Source organism: Homo sapiens, chromosome 19, assembly GCF_000001405.40.
Source record: "Homo sapiens chromosome 19, GRCh38.p14 Primary Assembly".
NCBI classification, from domain to species: Eukaryota; Metazoa; Chordata; class Mammalia; order Primates; family Hominidae; genus Homo; species Homo sapiens.
In genome coordinates, this window is record NC_000019.10 from 33,663,563 (window position 1) to 33,680,632 (window position 17,070).

At 48.8% G+C, this 17,070-nt stretch overlaps 1 protein-coding gene across 2 annotated transcripts in view, besides 1 other annotated feature; it reads left to right on the forward strand.

The window, feature by feature from the left end:
- The window catches only part of CHST8 (carbohydrate sulfotransferase 8), a 151,557-nt gene that overhangs the window by 41,610 nt on the left and 92,877 nt on the right, over positions 1–17,070 (forward strand). Inside the window, exon 2 of one of the 2 annotated variants that reach the window (NM_001127895.2) lies at positions 4,205–4,281. The exons of the other annotated variant lie outside the window; for it this stretch is intronic. The gene's annotated coding sequence lies outside the window, so the exon portion shown is untranslated. The remainder of the gene's footprint in view (positions 1–4,204; positions 4,282–17,070) is intronic. 2 annotated transcript variants of the gene reach the window in all.
- Positions 9,379–9,559: a silencer, noted in NCBI's record as "fragment chr19:34163847-34164027 (GRCh37/hg19 assembly coordinates)". NCBI's record gives its function as "represses an EF-1alpha promoter that drives an FKBP-Casp9 reporter gene in an ReSE screen in HepG2 liver carcinoma cells {active_cell/tissue: HepG2}" and the evidence as "EXISTENCE:reporter gene assay evidence [ECO:0000049][PMID:32094911]".

Consider the following 17,070-nt stretch of genomic DNA (forward strand, 5'->3'; position numbering starts at 1 on the left):
CCCAAAAAGGTTTAAAAAGCAGGAGGGGCCAGGTGCAGTGGCTCACGCCTGTAATCCTAGCACTTTGGGAGGCAGAGGCAGGCGGATCACTTGAGGCCAGGAGTTCGAGACCATCCTGGCCAACATGGTGAAACTCTGTCACTATAAAAATACAAAAATTAGCAGGACATGGTGGCAGGTGCCTGTAATCCCAGCTACTTGGGAGGCTGAGGTAGGAGAATCGCTTGAACTCGGGAGGTGGAGTTTGCAGTGAGCCGAGATCCTGCCACCGCACTCCAGCCTGGGTGAGAGAGTAAGACTCCATCTCAAAAAATAAATAAATACATAAAATAAAAAGCATGAGGTAGGTCCATATGCACTGCTGGGAAAGATGTCTGAACAGTGTTGTTAAGTGAAAAAAAGCAAACCGTAGCACAATATGTACATATATACACCATTTATGGCAAAAACACACACAAAGCCACACTGTATGTCCTCTATTTACATATTTGTAAGTTCATATCTAAAAGTCTGAAAGGAATTATGCCAATGATCGCAGTTCGGAGTGGACTGGATTGGGGCGACTTTCAAAGGAATCTTCACTTCCACTGTATTGTTTGAAGTTTTTTCCTGTGAGAATGCATTCCTGTGTACTTGTGTAATTTAAAGAGATATATGGATTTAGAACTGGGAATCTATATGGTTTACCCTGAGCTTCTGGGATTTTCTTTTTTATTTATTTATTTATTTATTATTATTATACTTTAAGTTTTAGAGTACATGTGCACAATGTGCAGGTTAGTTACATATGTATACACGTGCCATGCTGATGCGCTGCACCCACTAACTCGTCATCTAGCATTAGGTATATCTCCCAGTGCTATCCCTCCCCCCTCCCCCCTCCCCCCTCCCCACAACAGGCCCCAGAGTGTGATGTTCCCCTTCCTGTGTCCATGTGTTCTCATTGTTCAATTCCCACCTGTGAGTGAGAACATGCGGTGTTTGGTTTTTTGGGATTTTCATTTTTATTTCTTTGAGTGATTATGTTAAGTGGCTTACCCAAAAAAGTTCACTGGACATCTCAAAAGGTTATTTGACAGATGATTTAAAAAAAATTATACTGCCATTTTTATGCATGTGCTTAAATATCTCAAATTGTTTTCTAAAATTGGTTGGGAATATATTTGCTTTTTTCCCCCCTTTATCTTGCCCCATCCCCTTCCCAGCCTCTGGTTACTGCCAATCTTGTCTCTGTCTTCATGAGATCCAATTTTCTGGTTCCCACGTATGAGTGAGAACATAATGATATTTATCTTTCTATGCTTGGCTTATTTCACTGGACATAATGGTCTCCAGTTCCATCCATGTTGCTGCAAATAACAAGATTTCATTCTTTTTAATGGCTAAATACTATTCCATTGTGTGTATGTACCGTATTTTCTTTATCCATTTATCCACTGATGGGCACTTAGGTTGATTTCACATCTTGACTATTGTGACTAGTGCCGCAATAAACGTGGGAGTGTAGATATCTTTGTAATACGCTGGTTTCCTTTCTTTTGGATATATACCCAGGAGTGGATCATATGGTAGTTCTATTTTTAGTTTTTTTGTGGAATCTCCATACTGTTCTTCATAGTGGCTGTACTAATTTACATCCCCACCAACAGTGTACAAGAGTTCCCCTTTCTCCATATCCTTACTAGCATCTGTTATGCCAGACAGACTATTTATAAGTGAATTATATTTGTAGTTTAGGCCAGAGGTCAGCAGACTTTTTCGTAAACGACCATGGAGTAAATATTCTAGGCTTCATGGACAAAAAGGTCACTGTGGAAGTCACTCAATTGCCATCATAATGTGAAGGCACCCACAGATGATACAGAACAGGCGTGGCTGTGTTCCAATAAAACTTTATTTCCAGGAACAGGTGGCTGGAGGGTGTGGTCCATGGGCCACAGTTTGCCGAACACTGGTTTAATGGATTGCAAGACACAGATGGGTATGGAAATGGAGGAAGATGGCAAATGGAAATGTGTTGGACATTTAATCAGAACTAGCATGTCGAAAGGATTGTTTGAGTATCTTCAAAACTGAAAAAAAAAAAAAGCTTTTCTCAAGTGCAATCCTGTAGCCTCTTCCTGCTGGACCAGGGTGAGGCTGGGGCCGCAGAACCCAGGAGCAGTGTCCCCCAAGGAACACTTCCTCTGTGACTCCTGATGGGTAGAGGGTGGAGGGGATGGGCAGGCCTTCCTCAAGCCTGAGTTTGCACATGGTTCACACTCAGTGGGCATCCGGGAAAGTGATCAGGGCCCCAGTGGCCCACCCAGCTCTGGGCAGGCAGCAGACAAGGTCAGACTGGGGTGGACAAATGACAAAATGACATCCTCAGGTTTGGGAGGGGACAAGTGGTGTCTCTGCAGCTGGAGGCCGAAAGGCAGGCCTCTGGCTCCGGGACGGGGTGTCGGAAACGGCTGTGCCCCACACAGCTTTCTCGTGGATCATGTCTGTGCAGGTGCCTTGGGGCCTGAGAAAGAAGCAACGTTGGCTGCACAACAGGAAAGGCCCATTAGTGCCTGTCGATGTAGGCCACGCTAATTAGTCACGTGGCTGGAGATGGAGCAGTCTTATCTGGAACTGAGCCCTTCATGCCCCACAGGACTGTGAAAGTCAGGGGGTACACATAGGGAAGATGGGCTTTCTTCTCCCCTCCATGCCCGTGGAAGCCCTCCAGGCTGAGTGTGAGCATGTGTGTGTGTGTGTGGACCCTGCAAATAGATGTGGCAGAGAAACAGTCACTAGCAGACAAGGACTCCGCTGTCTCCTCCTCCCAGCCTCACGGGGAGAAATCTGTCTGCCTCGCGTTTCTAGAGTCACAGTGATGACAAAAAGGAGGCAGAGCTCACGGATCCAGGAATGGGGTTACGCGGAGACCAGCAGAGTTACACTGCAGAGAAGAGAAGGAACCGGAAGGTGGGAGGGTCTGGGGCAGGTGGCCGATGGAGCCCAGAGGCTGGGCATCAGGGAAGAGGGTGCCGGGAGAGGTGGGAGAGTGGGAGGAGAGGGGTATTGATGGCATGACCAGTGGAATTCCTCTTGTTAGTAAGATTTGAAGATAGACTTAATTAGAGAGTAGTTGTTAAGTGGTATTTTTCTTTTTCTTTCTTTCTTTCTTTTTTGAGATGGAGTCTTGCTCTGTCACCCAGGCTGGAGTGCAGTGGTGTGATCTTGGCTCACTGCAACATCCGCCTCCCGGGTTCAAGCAATTCCCCTGTCTCAGCCTCCCGCGTAGCTGGGACTACAGGTGCACATCACCATGCCTGGCTAATTTTAGTATTTTTAGTAGAGACCAGTTTCATTATGTTGCCCAGGCTGGTCTTGAACTCCTGGCCTCAAGTGATCTGCCTGCCTCGGCCTCCCATAGTGCTAGGATTACAGTTAGGTGGTATTTTTCTGAAAGGGACCCCAGGGATGCCAAAGCCAGCCTGGGGGCCAGCCCCTGTGTGATCACAGGCGTGTGTATGCATCGAGTGCCCATGAGAAGGCACCTAGGTTTGCACATAGTGAGGCTGCAGCCAGCATCACCCCATCTTGAAGAATGGGGTTTGCAGATGGAGGGTGAAGGGCACATTCATCCCCTTTGCCTGTGTGCTGGCCAACAGTGGTCAGCCACAAGTGGATGTTGCCCAGAGACCCTTTCCTTGGGTCTAGGTTTCGCTGTGGGAAGGGAAGTGGGAGAAATAACGTAGGAGAAAGCCTTCCTGCAGCCCCAAACGGAATTTCCTCCCCTGCTTGAAGTCAGATCCAATTCACACCCTCGCGCAGCCCGACGGCTGGCGCTGGCTCTGTTTGGTAACATCGCAGCAAACGGCCACCTTGTCTCTATTTTGGTTCTTGCTTTGCCACTTCTCTCTGCACCTTTCAAGAAGTGTTCCTTCCTTCTGGAAGGCTGGGGTGGCAGGCTCCCCCAGCTCCTTCCCATTCTGGTAAATTAAGGAACAAACGGTGCCAAATTGTTCTTGTCTGTTTTGCGAGATGATTCGTAACCAGCTTGTTTTCTTTTCCTCCATTGAGCGAATGCATTAAAACTAAAATTAAATCATTACCCGCAGCACAGACGACACTCCCCCTCATAATTACATCCTCTTAATGGGCATTTGAGAGCCCAGCTCATTTTAATGCTTGCTGGAAAACGTCTCAGACACATTTATTTATTTTTTTTTAGGTTTAAAGGTCAACAAGAATATCTTACCTTAATTTGACAAGTACGCAAGAAATAATGCAAGACTCGTTTATGTTCAGGTAATGCACAAAGAAATCTATAAATCAAGCTGAGGGAATATTAGATGATGCCATATCGGAACCATCTGCCTTCATTCTCGGAAGAATCGATACCACAAAGAAAGCGCCGAAGACGTAGATTTATGCCCTTGTGTCGGGGGAAAAATATCGGCTGTTTTTAGAGTCACTTCATATCCTAAAACAACAGGGCCTGAGGAAAAGAATGAGAGTGGGCCTAACCCCGAGTGAATGCGTCAGACAGCACATCTGACACTCGGTTTTCGATTGTCTCTGCTGGAGAAAGAATGGTCCCAAGGTCCTTTCATCCCCATGACTCTGCCCCGTCTGCTATTGTATTTATTTGAGAGGCTGCCAGGAATGTTGAGATGGCGTGGAAGGGAATTAACTAAATTGCATCTGTGTGATTGTTGCCAGGGGGTGGAGGCTTGTAGAGCTCGGGGACCCTGGGTTTTCCATGCCATGCACACTGCCTAACACTCTGCCCTCCTTGGGAGAGCCTTCGCTGGCCTTCATCATGGAGCTGGGGGAACATACAACCTCCACCATATTGGATGTTGGGCTTGTCCAAAGATGTGTCAAATGGGAAGAGCTGTCTGGGCTTTGTGAGGGGGGAAAGATAGCCTCCGAGCAATTAGGGTTTGGAAAAATAGGGTAATCATCTTACCACCTACCCCAGAAGTGGTCATGAAGAGCAGCAGCTCTCCAGGGAGGTGGAAGGGAGGAAGAACAGATCAGGTGACCCTCTGGCAAGTGTATGAGAATCTCCAAGGAGGGAGGGGAAGAGTTGTAAGACTTGAATATTGAATAATTGGAGAGGCTTTTTTTGTGGGGGGCTTCAAAATATAAAGTTATATTTTTATAATCAAATGATAGAAATAAAGGCTTTTCATCTTTTCCTGGGGGTAGAGCGCTGCAGAATTTTGAATAAAAGAGATTTGGAGATTCTGAGATTTTGCTTCGTGACACTCGTATTAGGATATATGGACTCTCGTGCGTGTGTGTCGCCATTTATACTGTGGTTCCCATCACGGGTCAAAAACAAGCATTTTCTGTTTGAACGTGAGGATATGCTTAGAGGAAGAAAGTTTGATTTTTGTATTTATAACAGAGTAGCACAAAAATGGGTCCGTGAGCCTCGGGAAACGTATTTGTGTTGCATCCTTAGTTTTATCCTTTCAGGAGTTGAAGTTGCTTCTAATGTTATGAGAGGGAAATCAAAGGGCCCCCGCTAAGCAGAATCGTTCCCATCAGCCACAGGCACCAGTGCACTGTGCTCATGACCTTTTGTGCTAAACAAACCCACAGACACACATACGCATTCCTGCTTCTTGGAGCCCGGGTGTGGATGGATGCCTGACCTGCCCCATCACCCTTTGGCTACTGGCCACAGAGTTCACATTGTCACAGAGTTCACATTGCCATCTACAAACCAAACATGAACATTAGGACTCTCGTTTTTGTTTTCTTTGTCCCTTTTGGGTGTAGCTGAAAATGATACTTGCAGCTCATATCAAAGATGGATTTATGTCTATTGCAAAGATGGCGACGTGCACCTTCCTGGAGGTGCTGGCAAATTCCAGGCAGTGAAGCCAAACCACTCTCGTGCCTTAAATAATGTTGGATCAAGATCATGTGAAATTTATTCTAAAACCTGTGGTTTTTATTTCTTCCTGCAAAGCTCCATTCTCTGCTTCACATGAGAGAAATTAGCAATGAAGCACCTCGTCAGGATCCAAAACGCCTGCCACCCATCTGTGCAAAACCCTGGCAGTCCTGGAGGAGACAAATCCTCACCTTCCTGGAAAACTTCCATGAAACCTGCAGTGAGGGCAGCCAGACCTTAACTTGGCAAAGAAACTGTGAAGGCAGCCTGGAGTGCCAAACTATTAACTTAGTGAGGGTGGCAGGCTTCAAGTTTTGCAGAAGCCCAAATCTATTATTTAACTATTAGTTGTGATGAATGGATGATGAAGGGAACCAACGTAGATATGCATGAGGCATGGCCGAAGATGATATCATTGAGGAAATGCTGTTTTCTTAAGCTTTGGTGACTAACTATAGAATTGATTATGTCTTTGAACTGGAGTCAAATTTCTTCTAAGTGAGCCGAATTGGAAAATAATATTAAACTTCCATTAAGGGTGTTCCAGAAATGCCGAATTCAAGACAAGGATTGTGTGCGTTTCTGTGTGTGTGAATACAAGGGGAAACCTTACAGATATTTGCAGAATATACTCCATCATTTCCTGCCAAGCATCAGCTTCTAGTATTTCGCCAAGTTTTTTAGAAGACTTCAACCTTGTTAGCAAAGTAATTAAGCAGAAAGAAAGAAAAGAAAAAAACAAAACCCACAAAAATGAAAACAAAACCCCAATGCATTGAGTGCCTTGCTGTTTTTCTGATTCTGTGAAGTTGAATATCAGTGAATTCAAATTGCACACTGGGTTCTTCTGATATGAACTGAAATTGTCAAAGATGTTGGGTGAGTCTATGGGCTGAAGTTTACCGTATTTTTAATCATCTGAGAAAAGACCAACTGCACCAAACTTTCAAAATTGATCATTCTGAATAGTGCTTGGCATACTCAGCAGACATGATTGAAATAGTTTTGCAGACACAGCGTAAACATAAAATACCAACCCCATCACCTGTCCTGACACACACCAGCAGTGGTAGCCCAGGGCCAGCGCTGGCTGCAGAGGCATGGTGCCAAGATCGGCTGCTCATTTTCCCTTCTTGATGAATGCTTACGGGCCAGTTTCTGGAAGCCCTTTCCAGGAGCGTCACATTTTTCTGTGGGTCTGCCTGCAGCCCGGGCTCCTGAGACATTTCCTAAAGACCTCCATTAGAAGCTTCCACTGCTCCCCTTACTGGCAGGCGTTCAGCCTTTGCCAACTGCAGGTTGATGGAATTGTCGGAGAGAGAGCATGTCGGGGGGCTCTGTTCATCTCCCCTAAAGTAGTCACTGACATGAGCAACACTCCCTGTATGCCAGGCACTGCTCCCTTATTGCCCATTTTGTCCTCGTAATAATCTTGCAAGGTAGCCACAAGAGATTATTACTCCCATTTTGCAGATGAGGAAACTGAGGCATGAAGAGGTTAAGTAGCCTATGTAGCTGGTAAGTGGAGGAGCCAGAGTCTGGACCCCGGCATCCTGGCAGTTCCAGCCTCCTTCTCCCAGTCATCACTGTATGTTCCATTGTTCCGTTTCTATTTCACTCACATATAACGAGCAGCTAAGTTTCCTGAGTTTTTGGATATGACAACAAGCAGCGGGGGCCCAGCTTACTGAGAAGAGTGAATTACAGTTTTTTCAAGATCCAGAATATCCACATCAGAAAAGCTCATGGCCGGCAAGTGTGATATCAACACACGTTGATATCACAGCATCAAAGTAAAAACTATGTAATTTTCAACATCCAAATAAAGCCTTCTTTGAAAAGCACCGATTTTCACATGAGAATGGTGGACAGATTTCCACATCCTGGCCCGAGATTTCTCACCGATCCTGTTGCTGTTGTCTCTTCCCAGGCCAACCTGTTTCTGCCTGGCCTCTTCCTCCAAGGCCAAGAGGGGTCCTGCCAAAGTCCAGGTCAGAGAGTGTCCTCCCTCTGCTCCTGTCTCATTCAGAGTCAAAGCCAAAATCACTGGAGTGGCCCACATCACTGCCCCCCATTGCTTCTCTGACCATATCTTCTTTCGTGCTTCTTTATGTCTCTCCAGACACACTGGGTGTCAAGAGTGCTGTCACCCCAGGGCCCTTGCACAGCTGATTCCCTCTATAACCCTTGGTTCACATGTTGCCTTCTCAGTCAGAACTCCTCCCACATACTCACCTTTGGCCTCAAGCTCTCCCAGTCCTCCTCCCCCTACTGTGTTTTTCTTCTGTCCTTAGTATTTCTCACCCTCTAAGGTTATATATAATCTGCCTCTCTCCTGCTTGGAGTGGAATTCTATGAGGGCAGGATCTTTGTTTTGTTCATGAATGGATCCCAGTTGCCTAGAATAGTGCCAGGCATGTAGTAGGTGCTCATTAAATATTTACCACATGTGTGATTTACCTCCAGAGGGGAGGAGGGTTGCAAAGGGAACCCCAAGTATTGGTAATTGTTTTATTCTTTAAGCTTGGGTGATGAATGTGCTGGTTCTTCTTTATGTTATTTACCTGTATGTATGTGTATGTATGTATATATATGTGTGTGCATATATATACACATAAATATATTCTGCATATCTGAAATGTTTCATATTAAATTTTAAAAAATCAAACAGGATCAAAAAGTAAAAGAGGTGTATGGTTTATATAAGTGGTGGAATCCTCTTCTCCATTGAAAGTATTTCTTTTCTTTTTTTGTGTGTGTGTGTGGTGGGGTATAGAGTCTCACTCTTTTGCCCAGGCTGGAGTGCAGTAGTGCAATCTCAGCTCACAGCAACCTCTGCCTTCCAAGTTCAAGCAATCCTCCTGCCTCAGCCTCCCCAGGAGCTAGGATTACAGGCGCACACCACCACACCCAGCTGATTTTTGTATTTTTTGTAGAGATGGGGTATCACCATGTTGGCCAGGCTGGTCTCAAACTCCTGACCTCAAAGTGATCCAACTGCCTCGGCCTCCCAAAGTGCTGGGATTACAGGTGTGAGCCCCTGTGCCTGGCCCCCATCAAAAGTATTTTTTCATCTTTGTGTACCATCTCATGTCAGCGACGGAAAGTGCAAGTTCTTAGGCAGATGTGTTTGCGATGGGGGAAGATGCGGAGAAACAGGAAGAAAAGCTGGGCAGGGACTCTGACTGGCCGGGCAGTCGGGGCCCACACAACCAGAGGAGCTGACTGTCAAAGCAAGAGTGTTGGGGAACGATGAGAAATGAGGTGGAGAGTTAGCCAGGATGAGACGGCCCTGGGCCAGCTTCCGAGAGCAGGACGCTTGGCGTGGATGTCTGACCACCCTTGGCAGGGGAGCCTGCATCTCTCTGACAGAGGAGAGGAAGAAAGAGAAATGACATTTTCTGAGCCGCCAAGAAAGAAGAGGCCTGAATGGGGAAGGGCTGAGTTCAGGGACCTGGATGAAGACATCACGTGGGGTGACGCTGTGGTTGAGGATGGACCCAGGCAGGACGCGCCCAGGTCCACCACTCCCTGTGACCCCATGAGATTCCCCAAATCCTCAGAAGGGGAGACACTTCCTGGGTTTGCAATCACCTCCAGTTTATGTATATAGCCAGAAGGAGTAGGAGTCCAGATGTGGAACCTCTGACCCAGCCCAGGGCTGTGTGGTCCGTGGGCGAGGTGAGCTGGCCAATGTCCGGGTGTCGTGGCTGGGAGGACACAGCTGGTCCCCGTGCCCGCCAAGCAGCTTCCCAGATATCGATCAGTGCCTCTGGTGAGCATGACTCCTTCTGAGGAGTCCCATTGATCAGGCCAGATGGAAAACTAGTAGCTGTGATTGGGACGAGTGAATATTCATTTGGAAATGTCAATGAGTAACTGGAGATGATGCCTGCAGTGACTTGCCTGGCAGGATCAATTCCAGACATGAGGTGAACCAGACGTTGGCGGGGACCTAAGGTGGGAGCCAGGGACCCTGGGTGGGGCAGGGGGAGTGGTGGAGGCCAGAGAATGTGTAGGACAGTGAGGTCAGACACATTTCCCTGCCTCCCCACCCCCAGTTCTGAGGCTCTCTTGTCTGTCTGGGGCTTTTGTCTTCAAGTGTGGCACTCCTTGCACAGTGGCCACCAGGCCGGAGGACGTCTGTGTGTGTGTGGAAGGGGTTGAAGGGTCCCAGGACGTGCACTTGCTGGAAGAATGCATGGGTCTGCTGAACCTGCCTTCCTCCTGGGCATGCTGGGAGGAGGGGCTGCAAGAAGGTCAAGCTGGAGGGGTCTCTAGGCTCTAGCTGAGACCCTTCTCCCACTTTTTTTTTATTTTTTATTTTGAGACAGTCTCCCTCTGCCGCCCAGGCTGAAGTGCAGTGGCATGATCTTGGCTCACTGCTACCTCCACCTCCCGGGTTCCAGCGATTCTTCTGCCTCAGCTTCCCGGGTAGATGGGAATACAGGCTCGCGCCATCACATCTGGCTAATTTTTGTATTTTTAGTAGATACGGGGTTTCGCCATGTTGGCCAGGCTGGTCCTGGACTCCTGACCTCACGTGATCTGCCCATCTTGGCCTCCCAAAGTGCTGGGATTACATGCATAAGCCACCGCACCCAGCCTTTTCTCCTCACTTCTGTCAGTAGGTCCCAGCTGTGCACAAGTCAGGGCTGGGGCCAGGGGAGGCTAGGAGATTTTGGTTAGGGTCTCCTTGCACTGGGATGGAGGGATGGAGGGATTCAGCCACTTCACCCCAGGAGCTCTGGCCCTGGCTAGAGGCCTCCTGGACAGAGGAGGGAAGTCATCGCTGCTGGCCTGTGAAGGGGCCCTGTCAGCTTATTGCCAGGTGCACTGTCACCTAGGTGTGGCCTGCTACTTCCCCCAGTCCCAATTAACCATCTGCAGGAGCTGCCATCGGCATGGGGGAGGGGCTGGGTCCCACTCGTCTGTACAGACTGCTCAGCTAATGAGGGGGTCTGTGAAATTTTTAATTACGGCTCCCATGCCTGGCTTAATTATTTGCATATGGCTTTTACAAGTGGGAAAAGGACGATTGCATGCAGCGCAGCACTTCTCCTCAGCCCCACGTTTGACTTTAATTAAAGGCAGAACCTGAGGTCTTTCCATCACTAATGATCGTGGAAAATTAGCTTCCAATTCCCAGGGGTCTCCAGAGTGATGCACCCTGAGGCGGAGAGCGGGCGGAGAGGGGATGGAGCAGGGAGAGGAGCGGGAGGCACAGATGGCAGATGGTCCTGCTGGGCCGCCACTCTGGAGTCCCCCCAACCACAGGCCACCCTCCCACCACCTTCCCTCCAGGCTGCGTAGAGAAGGGAGCCTCACTTTCCTCTGCCAGGAAGCAGACCTGACCTTGGGCAGCAACTAGGAGGAAGACCTGCTGAGCTGGGGTGAAGGTTGCCAGGGTCATTCTCCCGTTGGCCAGGAGCTGGGTGTGTTCTGGCTGTAGCTGGACTGCTCCCAGCTGGTGGCCACAGGCAGAGGAGTGGGAGTTTCTGAAATGAGTATACGTGTGTGCACACATGTCTACAGCATGTGCTCACCCAGGCACACAGATACACAGGATGGAGCCGTAGAGACACACCTGCATGCTCACACATGTATGTGTACATATGTCCACTCAGGAGCAAAGGAGTGAATGTGTAGTGGGCCCTGTGGCCATCCCTGTGTCCCCATCCCTCTTGTCTCCTACTCACTGAGCTGGGAGGAGCTGACCCCAGGGCAGTTTCATCCCGCTGTTTCCAGTAGCCAGGCCTGCACCACCCCCAGCACAGAGCATCCCCTCAGCCCCAGGCACACTAGGTCAAGAAGTTCTATTGGCTCAGGATCCAGGGGCTTGTTCCCTTGTTGCGGATGGGGCTCCCTCCCTTCTACTGGACATAATGAGGATGCCTGTAGCTTGGACTATGTCTGTAGCCATTGAACCATGAAGGGAGCTCTCAGGATAAAACCTGCCCCAAGGACAGGAGCAGAGCCACTAGCAGAGCCTGGGTCCCCAGTGACACTGTAGAGCCTCGATTTCCCTGATGAGCTGGGTTTTCTGTTTCTCGCTTCCAAAAACATCCTGGTCTAGGCAGAGTTTGTGTCCAATGCGTGGTCTCACACTGCACGTGGTTGATGGCAACCACTGAACCACGCAAGAGCTGGTTTCCTGGCAACACCCCAGCCTCCTTCCTGCCCCACTGAGGAGGCTGCCCTGTAGGTCAGGGCTGAGCCTTCCTGGCACAGGGGCTGAAGTCATCAGCCAGGGCTGCCGTAACAAAGTCCACAGACTGGGGAGCTTGAACAACCATGTTTAGGTGCCATCTGGTCACAGAGCTGTAGGAACCAGCTTCTGACCAGTGAGGCTGTAGCAGCCTCTCTTCCCAGAGGATTTTTCTCCCTCAGCTGATTTTGCACAAAAGTCCTTGAACCGGGAAGCATTGTTCTCATCCAGGGGTCACGTGCCTTTCCCTAATCCAGGCTCCCGGGTTGGGGGAGCTCCAGAGTGGCAGCCCAGCAGGACCATCTGCCTTTCCCCAATCCAGGCTCCTCCTTAAGCCTCATGTCCATTCTGGATTTGGCCTGAGGTCCACCCATTGCCTCCTCTTTCATTGTAGGAGGCTGAGGCAGGAGGATCACTTGAGTCCTCTTTCATTATAGAGGGAGCAATGGGTGGTGGACCTCAGGCCAAATCCAGCATGGACATAAGGCTCAAGTAAGTTTTTTTAAATGTGCATTGCTTGCCAATTTCAGAATCAGGAAATTTCAAGTTAAAAATCCAGTTTCCAAATTGGAAGGTCTAAAGGTCTGCATTGCTACAAGGGTCATCAGATGTGTCATTTAAAAAATAATTTTGGGTCCAGTGCAGTGGCTTATGTCTGTAATCCTAGCCCTTTGAGAAGCTGAGGCAGGCGGATCGCTTGAGGCCAGCAGTTTGAGGCCAGCCTGGCCAACACAGTGAAACCCCATCTCTACTAAAAATACCAAAATTAGCCAGACGTGGTGGCACACGCCTGTAGTCCCAGCTACTCAGGAGGCTGAGGCAGGAGAATCACTTGAACCCGGGAGGCAGAGGTTGCAGTGAGCCAAGGTCGTGCCACTGCACTCCAGCCTGGGCAACAGAGAGAGACTCCATCTCAATATAATAATAATAATAATTTTTGCCCCGGTGTGATGGCTTACGCCTGTCATTCCAGCACTTTAGGAGGCTGAGGCGGAAGGATTGCATGAGGCCAGGAGTTTAAGACCAGCCTGAGCAACATAGTGAGACCCCATCTCTATAAAAATTTTTGAAAATTAGCTGGGTGTTATAGCATGTACCTGTGGTCCCAGCTACTCAGGAGGCTGAGGCAGGAGGACCACTTGAGCCCAGGAGTTTGAGGCTGCAGCGAGCCATGATCATACCACTGCACTCCAGCCCAGGTGACAGAGCGAGACCCAGACTCTTAAAAAAGAAAAAAAAAAAAAGAAATCCAGGTTTCCAAATAGGAAGATCTGAAGGTCTTGATCTGCTACCAAGGGTCATTGGATGTGTCATTTGAAACATAATTTTTATTATGAAAGTGTCTTGTGGTTATTATAGGAAATGAGCTGCTTCAAACAGCTGCTCACTAGAGACCAATGACTGACATTTTGAGTCCCACTATAAAAACGCCTGTCTTCATTCCTCTTTAGAGCAATCACATAAGAAGTCAGGGCTCCAGCAACCCCTTGTGTGATCAGCCGGCAGGGGGGGGCACTGGGGCATGAGTGTGGGGTCTGTGTGGATGCTCTTTTGCTTTAAGATGCTCCCAGTTAGCCGAGTGCTGCCCACATCCCTGCCCCACCTGCCCCTGCCTGGCAGACAGATGCCACAGAGCCCCACGTACAGGGATCATAATGGTTTACACCTCTTCTGCCTGTGTCCTTGAGGTTGAGCGATGAGGGCATGTGAAACCCAGGATGGTAGAAAAGAGGCTGCAGGCTTAGGGAAAGAAACCAGAGAAACCAGACTCCCTTGGATGTTGTTCAAGATAAGCAAATAATTCAGCAGAGCCATATGGAAAGATGGTGAGACCGGCCGTGGAGGAGCAGGCACCCTGCAGAGAGGACTGGGACCCAGCAGCCCATTCCACCAGACCCAAGCCTGTTCCTCCACCCCAGGGCAGCATCCCACCACTGCAGGAATCTTCTCAAATAGCTCCATGGTACCAGTCCACCAGGGGCCTACTTACTGGCTGGGAAAACAGGAGCCCAGATACATAGCATGAGGATGCCCCAAATCTCCCAGTGACAACATTGAATGCTGAGTGCTGTCTCCTCTGTGTTACTCTCCCACAGTCCCCTCTGTCAGATAAAAGCCGTTAGTCTCTGGAACACACAGGAGGGTGCCTCACTTGGCCTGGGGGCCATCAAGGAATGGTGAGAGATGAGACTGGGCACGGGAGGTTGGCAGAGGCAGGATATTCACAGATCTGGTGGACCATGCTGAGACATTTTAACTTGGGTCACTGGGCACCTGGGGGGCTTGGGAGTGACCACAGATGTATTGCAGGACAGGTGTTGAGATGGGGAGCTGTCCAGGCTACAGGTGCTGAATCAGAGCCGCACCGAGGGACTGGGAAAGAAAGACAGGACACATGTTCAGAAGGCCAGATCTGCACTCAGGTGTCAGGAGAGGGAGGAAGTGTTAGTCTGGACCCACATTTCTGGCTTTCCAACACTCTGTGGGGAAAAAGAAGGGCACCAAGGGGTCACTGGGGTGGAGGAGACTTGGAACACAGGACGTTAGCTGGAAGGAGATCTGAGGCAGAGACTAATGGAGAAGGGATGTTCCTGTCCCATGCACAGTCACTCATTAGTGCTTCCAGGTCATTTGAAGCCCCAGTCACTTCCTGGTGGCCTAAATGAGACCTGTTTTTCCACAGAGCATCCAGGATAGGGCCAAGAGACTTTTGTTCTGCCATATTCTTAGTCTTGAGCCTTCACATTGGGAGAGACCAGCCTGTTTTGAGATGAGCTCCAGGGAAAATCATGCTGGACTGGTAGAGGTCAAGACTGTGAGGGTTTACCTGTAAACCCAGTGCTTTGGGAGGCCAAGGTAAGAGGATTACTGGAGGCCAGGAGTTTCAGACCAGCCTGGGCAACATAGTGAGACCCCACTTCTACAAAAAATTAAACATTTAACCAGGCACTGTTAAATTGAGTAGTCCCAGCTACTCAAGAGTCTGAGGTGGGAGGACTGCTTGAGCCCAGAAGTTTGAGGCTGCAGTGAGCCATGATTGCATCTCTGCACTCCAGCCTGGGTAATAGAGTGACACCCTGTCTCTAAGAAAATAAAAATAAAAAAAGATATTGGAGGTTACCCTTTGGAAGCCAGCCTCCTTCCAAAGGGTATGGCCATGCTTGTGTGCTGAGTGGACCCACAGAGCACAACCACTGGACTCCACATGACCCCAGCCCGAAGGACCCAGCTGGCTCCAGTGCAGGAGCTTCCTTTCACCTTCGTTGTCCTTTTACTAGCTTCTCTTCATTCGCCACACATTGCCCAAGCACCTGCTCTGTGCCAGGCACTGTTGGCAGCTGGAAACACAAAGACAAGTCCTCTGGGGCCTCCTTGTGCCAGCCACAGGGAGAGAGATTCCCTGGAAGGCAGCCAAGGCTTCTTGCCATTCTCTCCTCAGAAGTCTATGGACTGCCTTGTGTGTCTGCACCCTGCCAGGGGCCAGGGCATTTCAGGTTTACTCACAGACTCCTCTCTGTCCATATTATACCCCAACTTTCAATTTTGAGAAGTAAATATGCAATTTTTTCCTCCCTGTAATTTTCCCTGCTGTGGCTGCGGATGTCAGAGCCGCTGGAAAATGTGAATAGCTCAGTGCTTTCTAGAACTGAAAGGAAGCTGGCCATGCCGCATCCTACATCCCCAGGTGCTCTTGGCAGGATCCAGCAGCTCAGGTGGGGAGAGATGCTCTCCAGGCTGTACTGTCGAGGGAACTTTTAACCCAAATAATTCATGTTCCCACCTTCTTCCATTAGCAACGAGATAATTGCCAAGAAGTAAGTGTGTATCTGTGTGAGTGTGCACACGCATGCGTGTCTGTTGCAGGGACATTAGCAGAGGAGGCGAAGTGAGTGTATTTGCTTATGCAGCCAAACTTTCTGCGTGTTCCTCTGGAGACTGTCAGACCTTCGTGTCTCAGTAACTGAAGGTCAGGACAGTCTGATCTAAGCTTTTGTTTTGGAAAAGCATGGCTGGGGTGGAGAGAGAGAGGATTTGAGTCAGATCTGGGGTGGCGCTTATTTCTTGTGTGTAACCTTGGCCATATTTAGTCTCTCTGGGTCTTCATTTCATCATCTGCAAAACAGAGTGGTGGGCTTGGAGATCTGCTGCCCAGATCTTCCTTCCAAGAAGGATTTGCTGACCACCTGGGGACTGTGTGATCAGCAGCCAGCCTCTAGTCCTCAACTCCACGAGGGGCTGCCTCATCTGAGATCACGCCCTTCTCTGGGCAACCCACATCCAGCTACTGAGTAAGGGGGAGGTGTAAGGGTCCAGCCCTATCTTCCTTCTGCAGGACACTCCGACAGGCTGAATCCACTCCGGAGCCCACCATCAAGGCCTACATCCCTATTCCACTTCTTCCCACTCCAGCTTCCTCCCTTTTCCCTTTGCAGGTATTGATCCTTAATAAACATTGTGCACCCCAAACTCCATCTCGGTATCTCCTTACAGAGAACCAAACCTGTGGCAAATAGGGATAATGATTTTTACTTCAAAAGGTTATTGTGTGAAAGCTAAATGGGATGTTTATGTAGTATCCAACATTGTGCCTGGAACGTTAACAAATAATGATAAATACCTGTTCCTTTTTCTTTTCTTTCCCTCACAACTGTGACTCAAAATCCCATTCTGGGCCTCGAGCAGGTGTTCCTAACCTGTGCTCTGTAATATTGGTTTGGAAAAAGCCCAGCAAGGCAAGTGGCCCTGAAAATCTGTGCTGCGGCTAAATCTGAGATCCTGGCTGATGGCTTCAGAGCCAATTCTTGTCCCTGTCAAGTTCATTATCCATGGATCACGTCAGCCCTCTTCAAGGTTCCTCACTGAAAAGAAATTGAGCATGCAAATACTCTTTTATCATAATCACCACGTATCCACAGGGTAATTCATAAAAGAGCTGGAAATATGTTGAAATTCAATATTGTTTTAGTCCAAATCGATA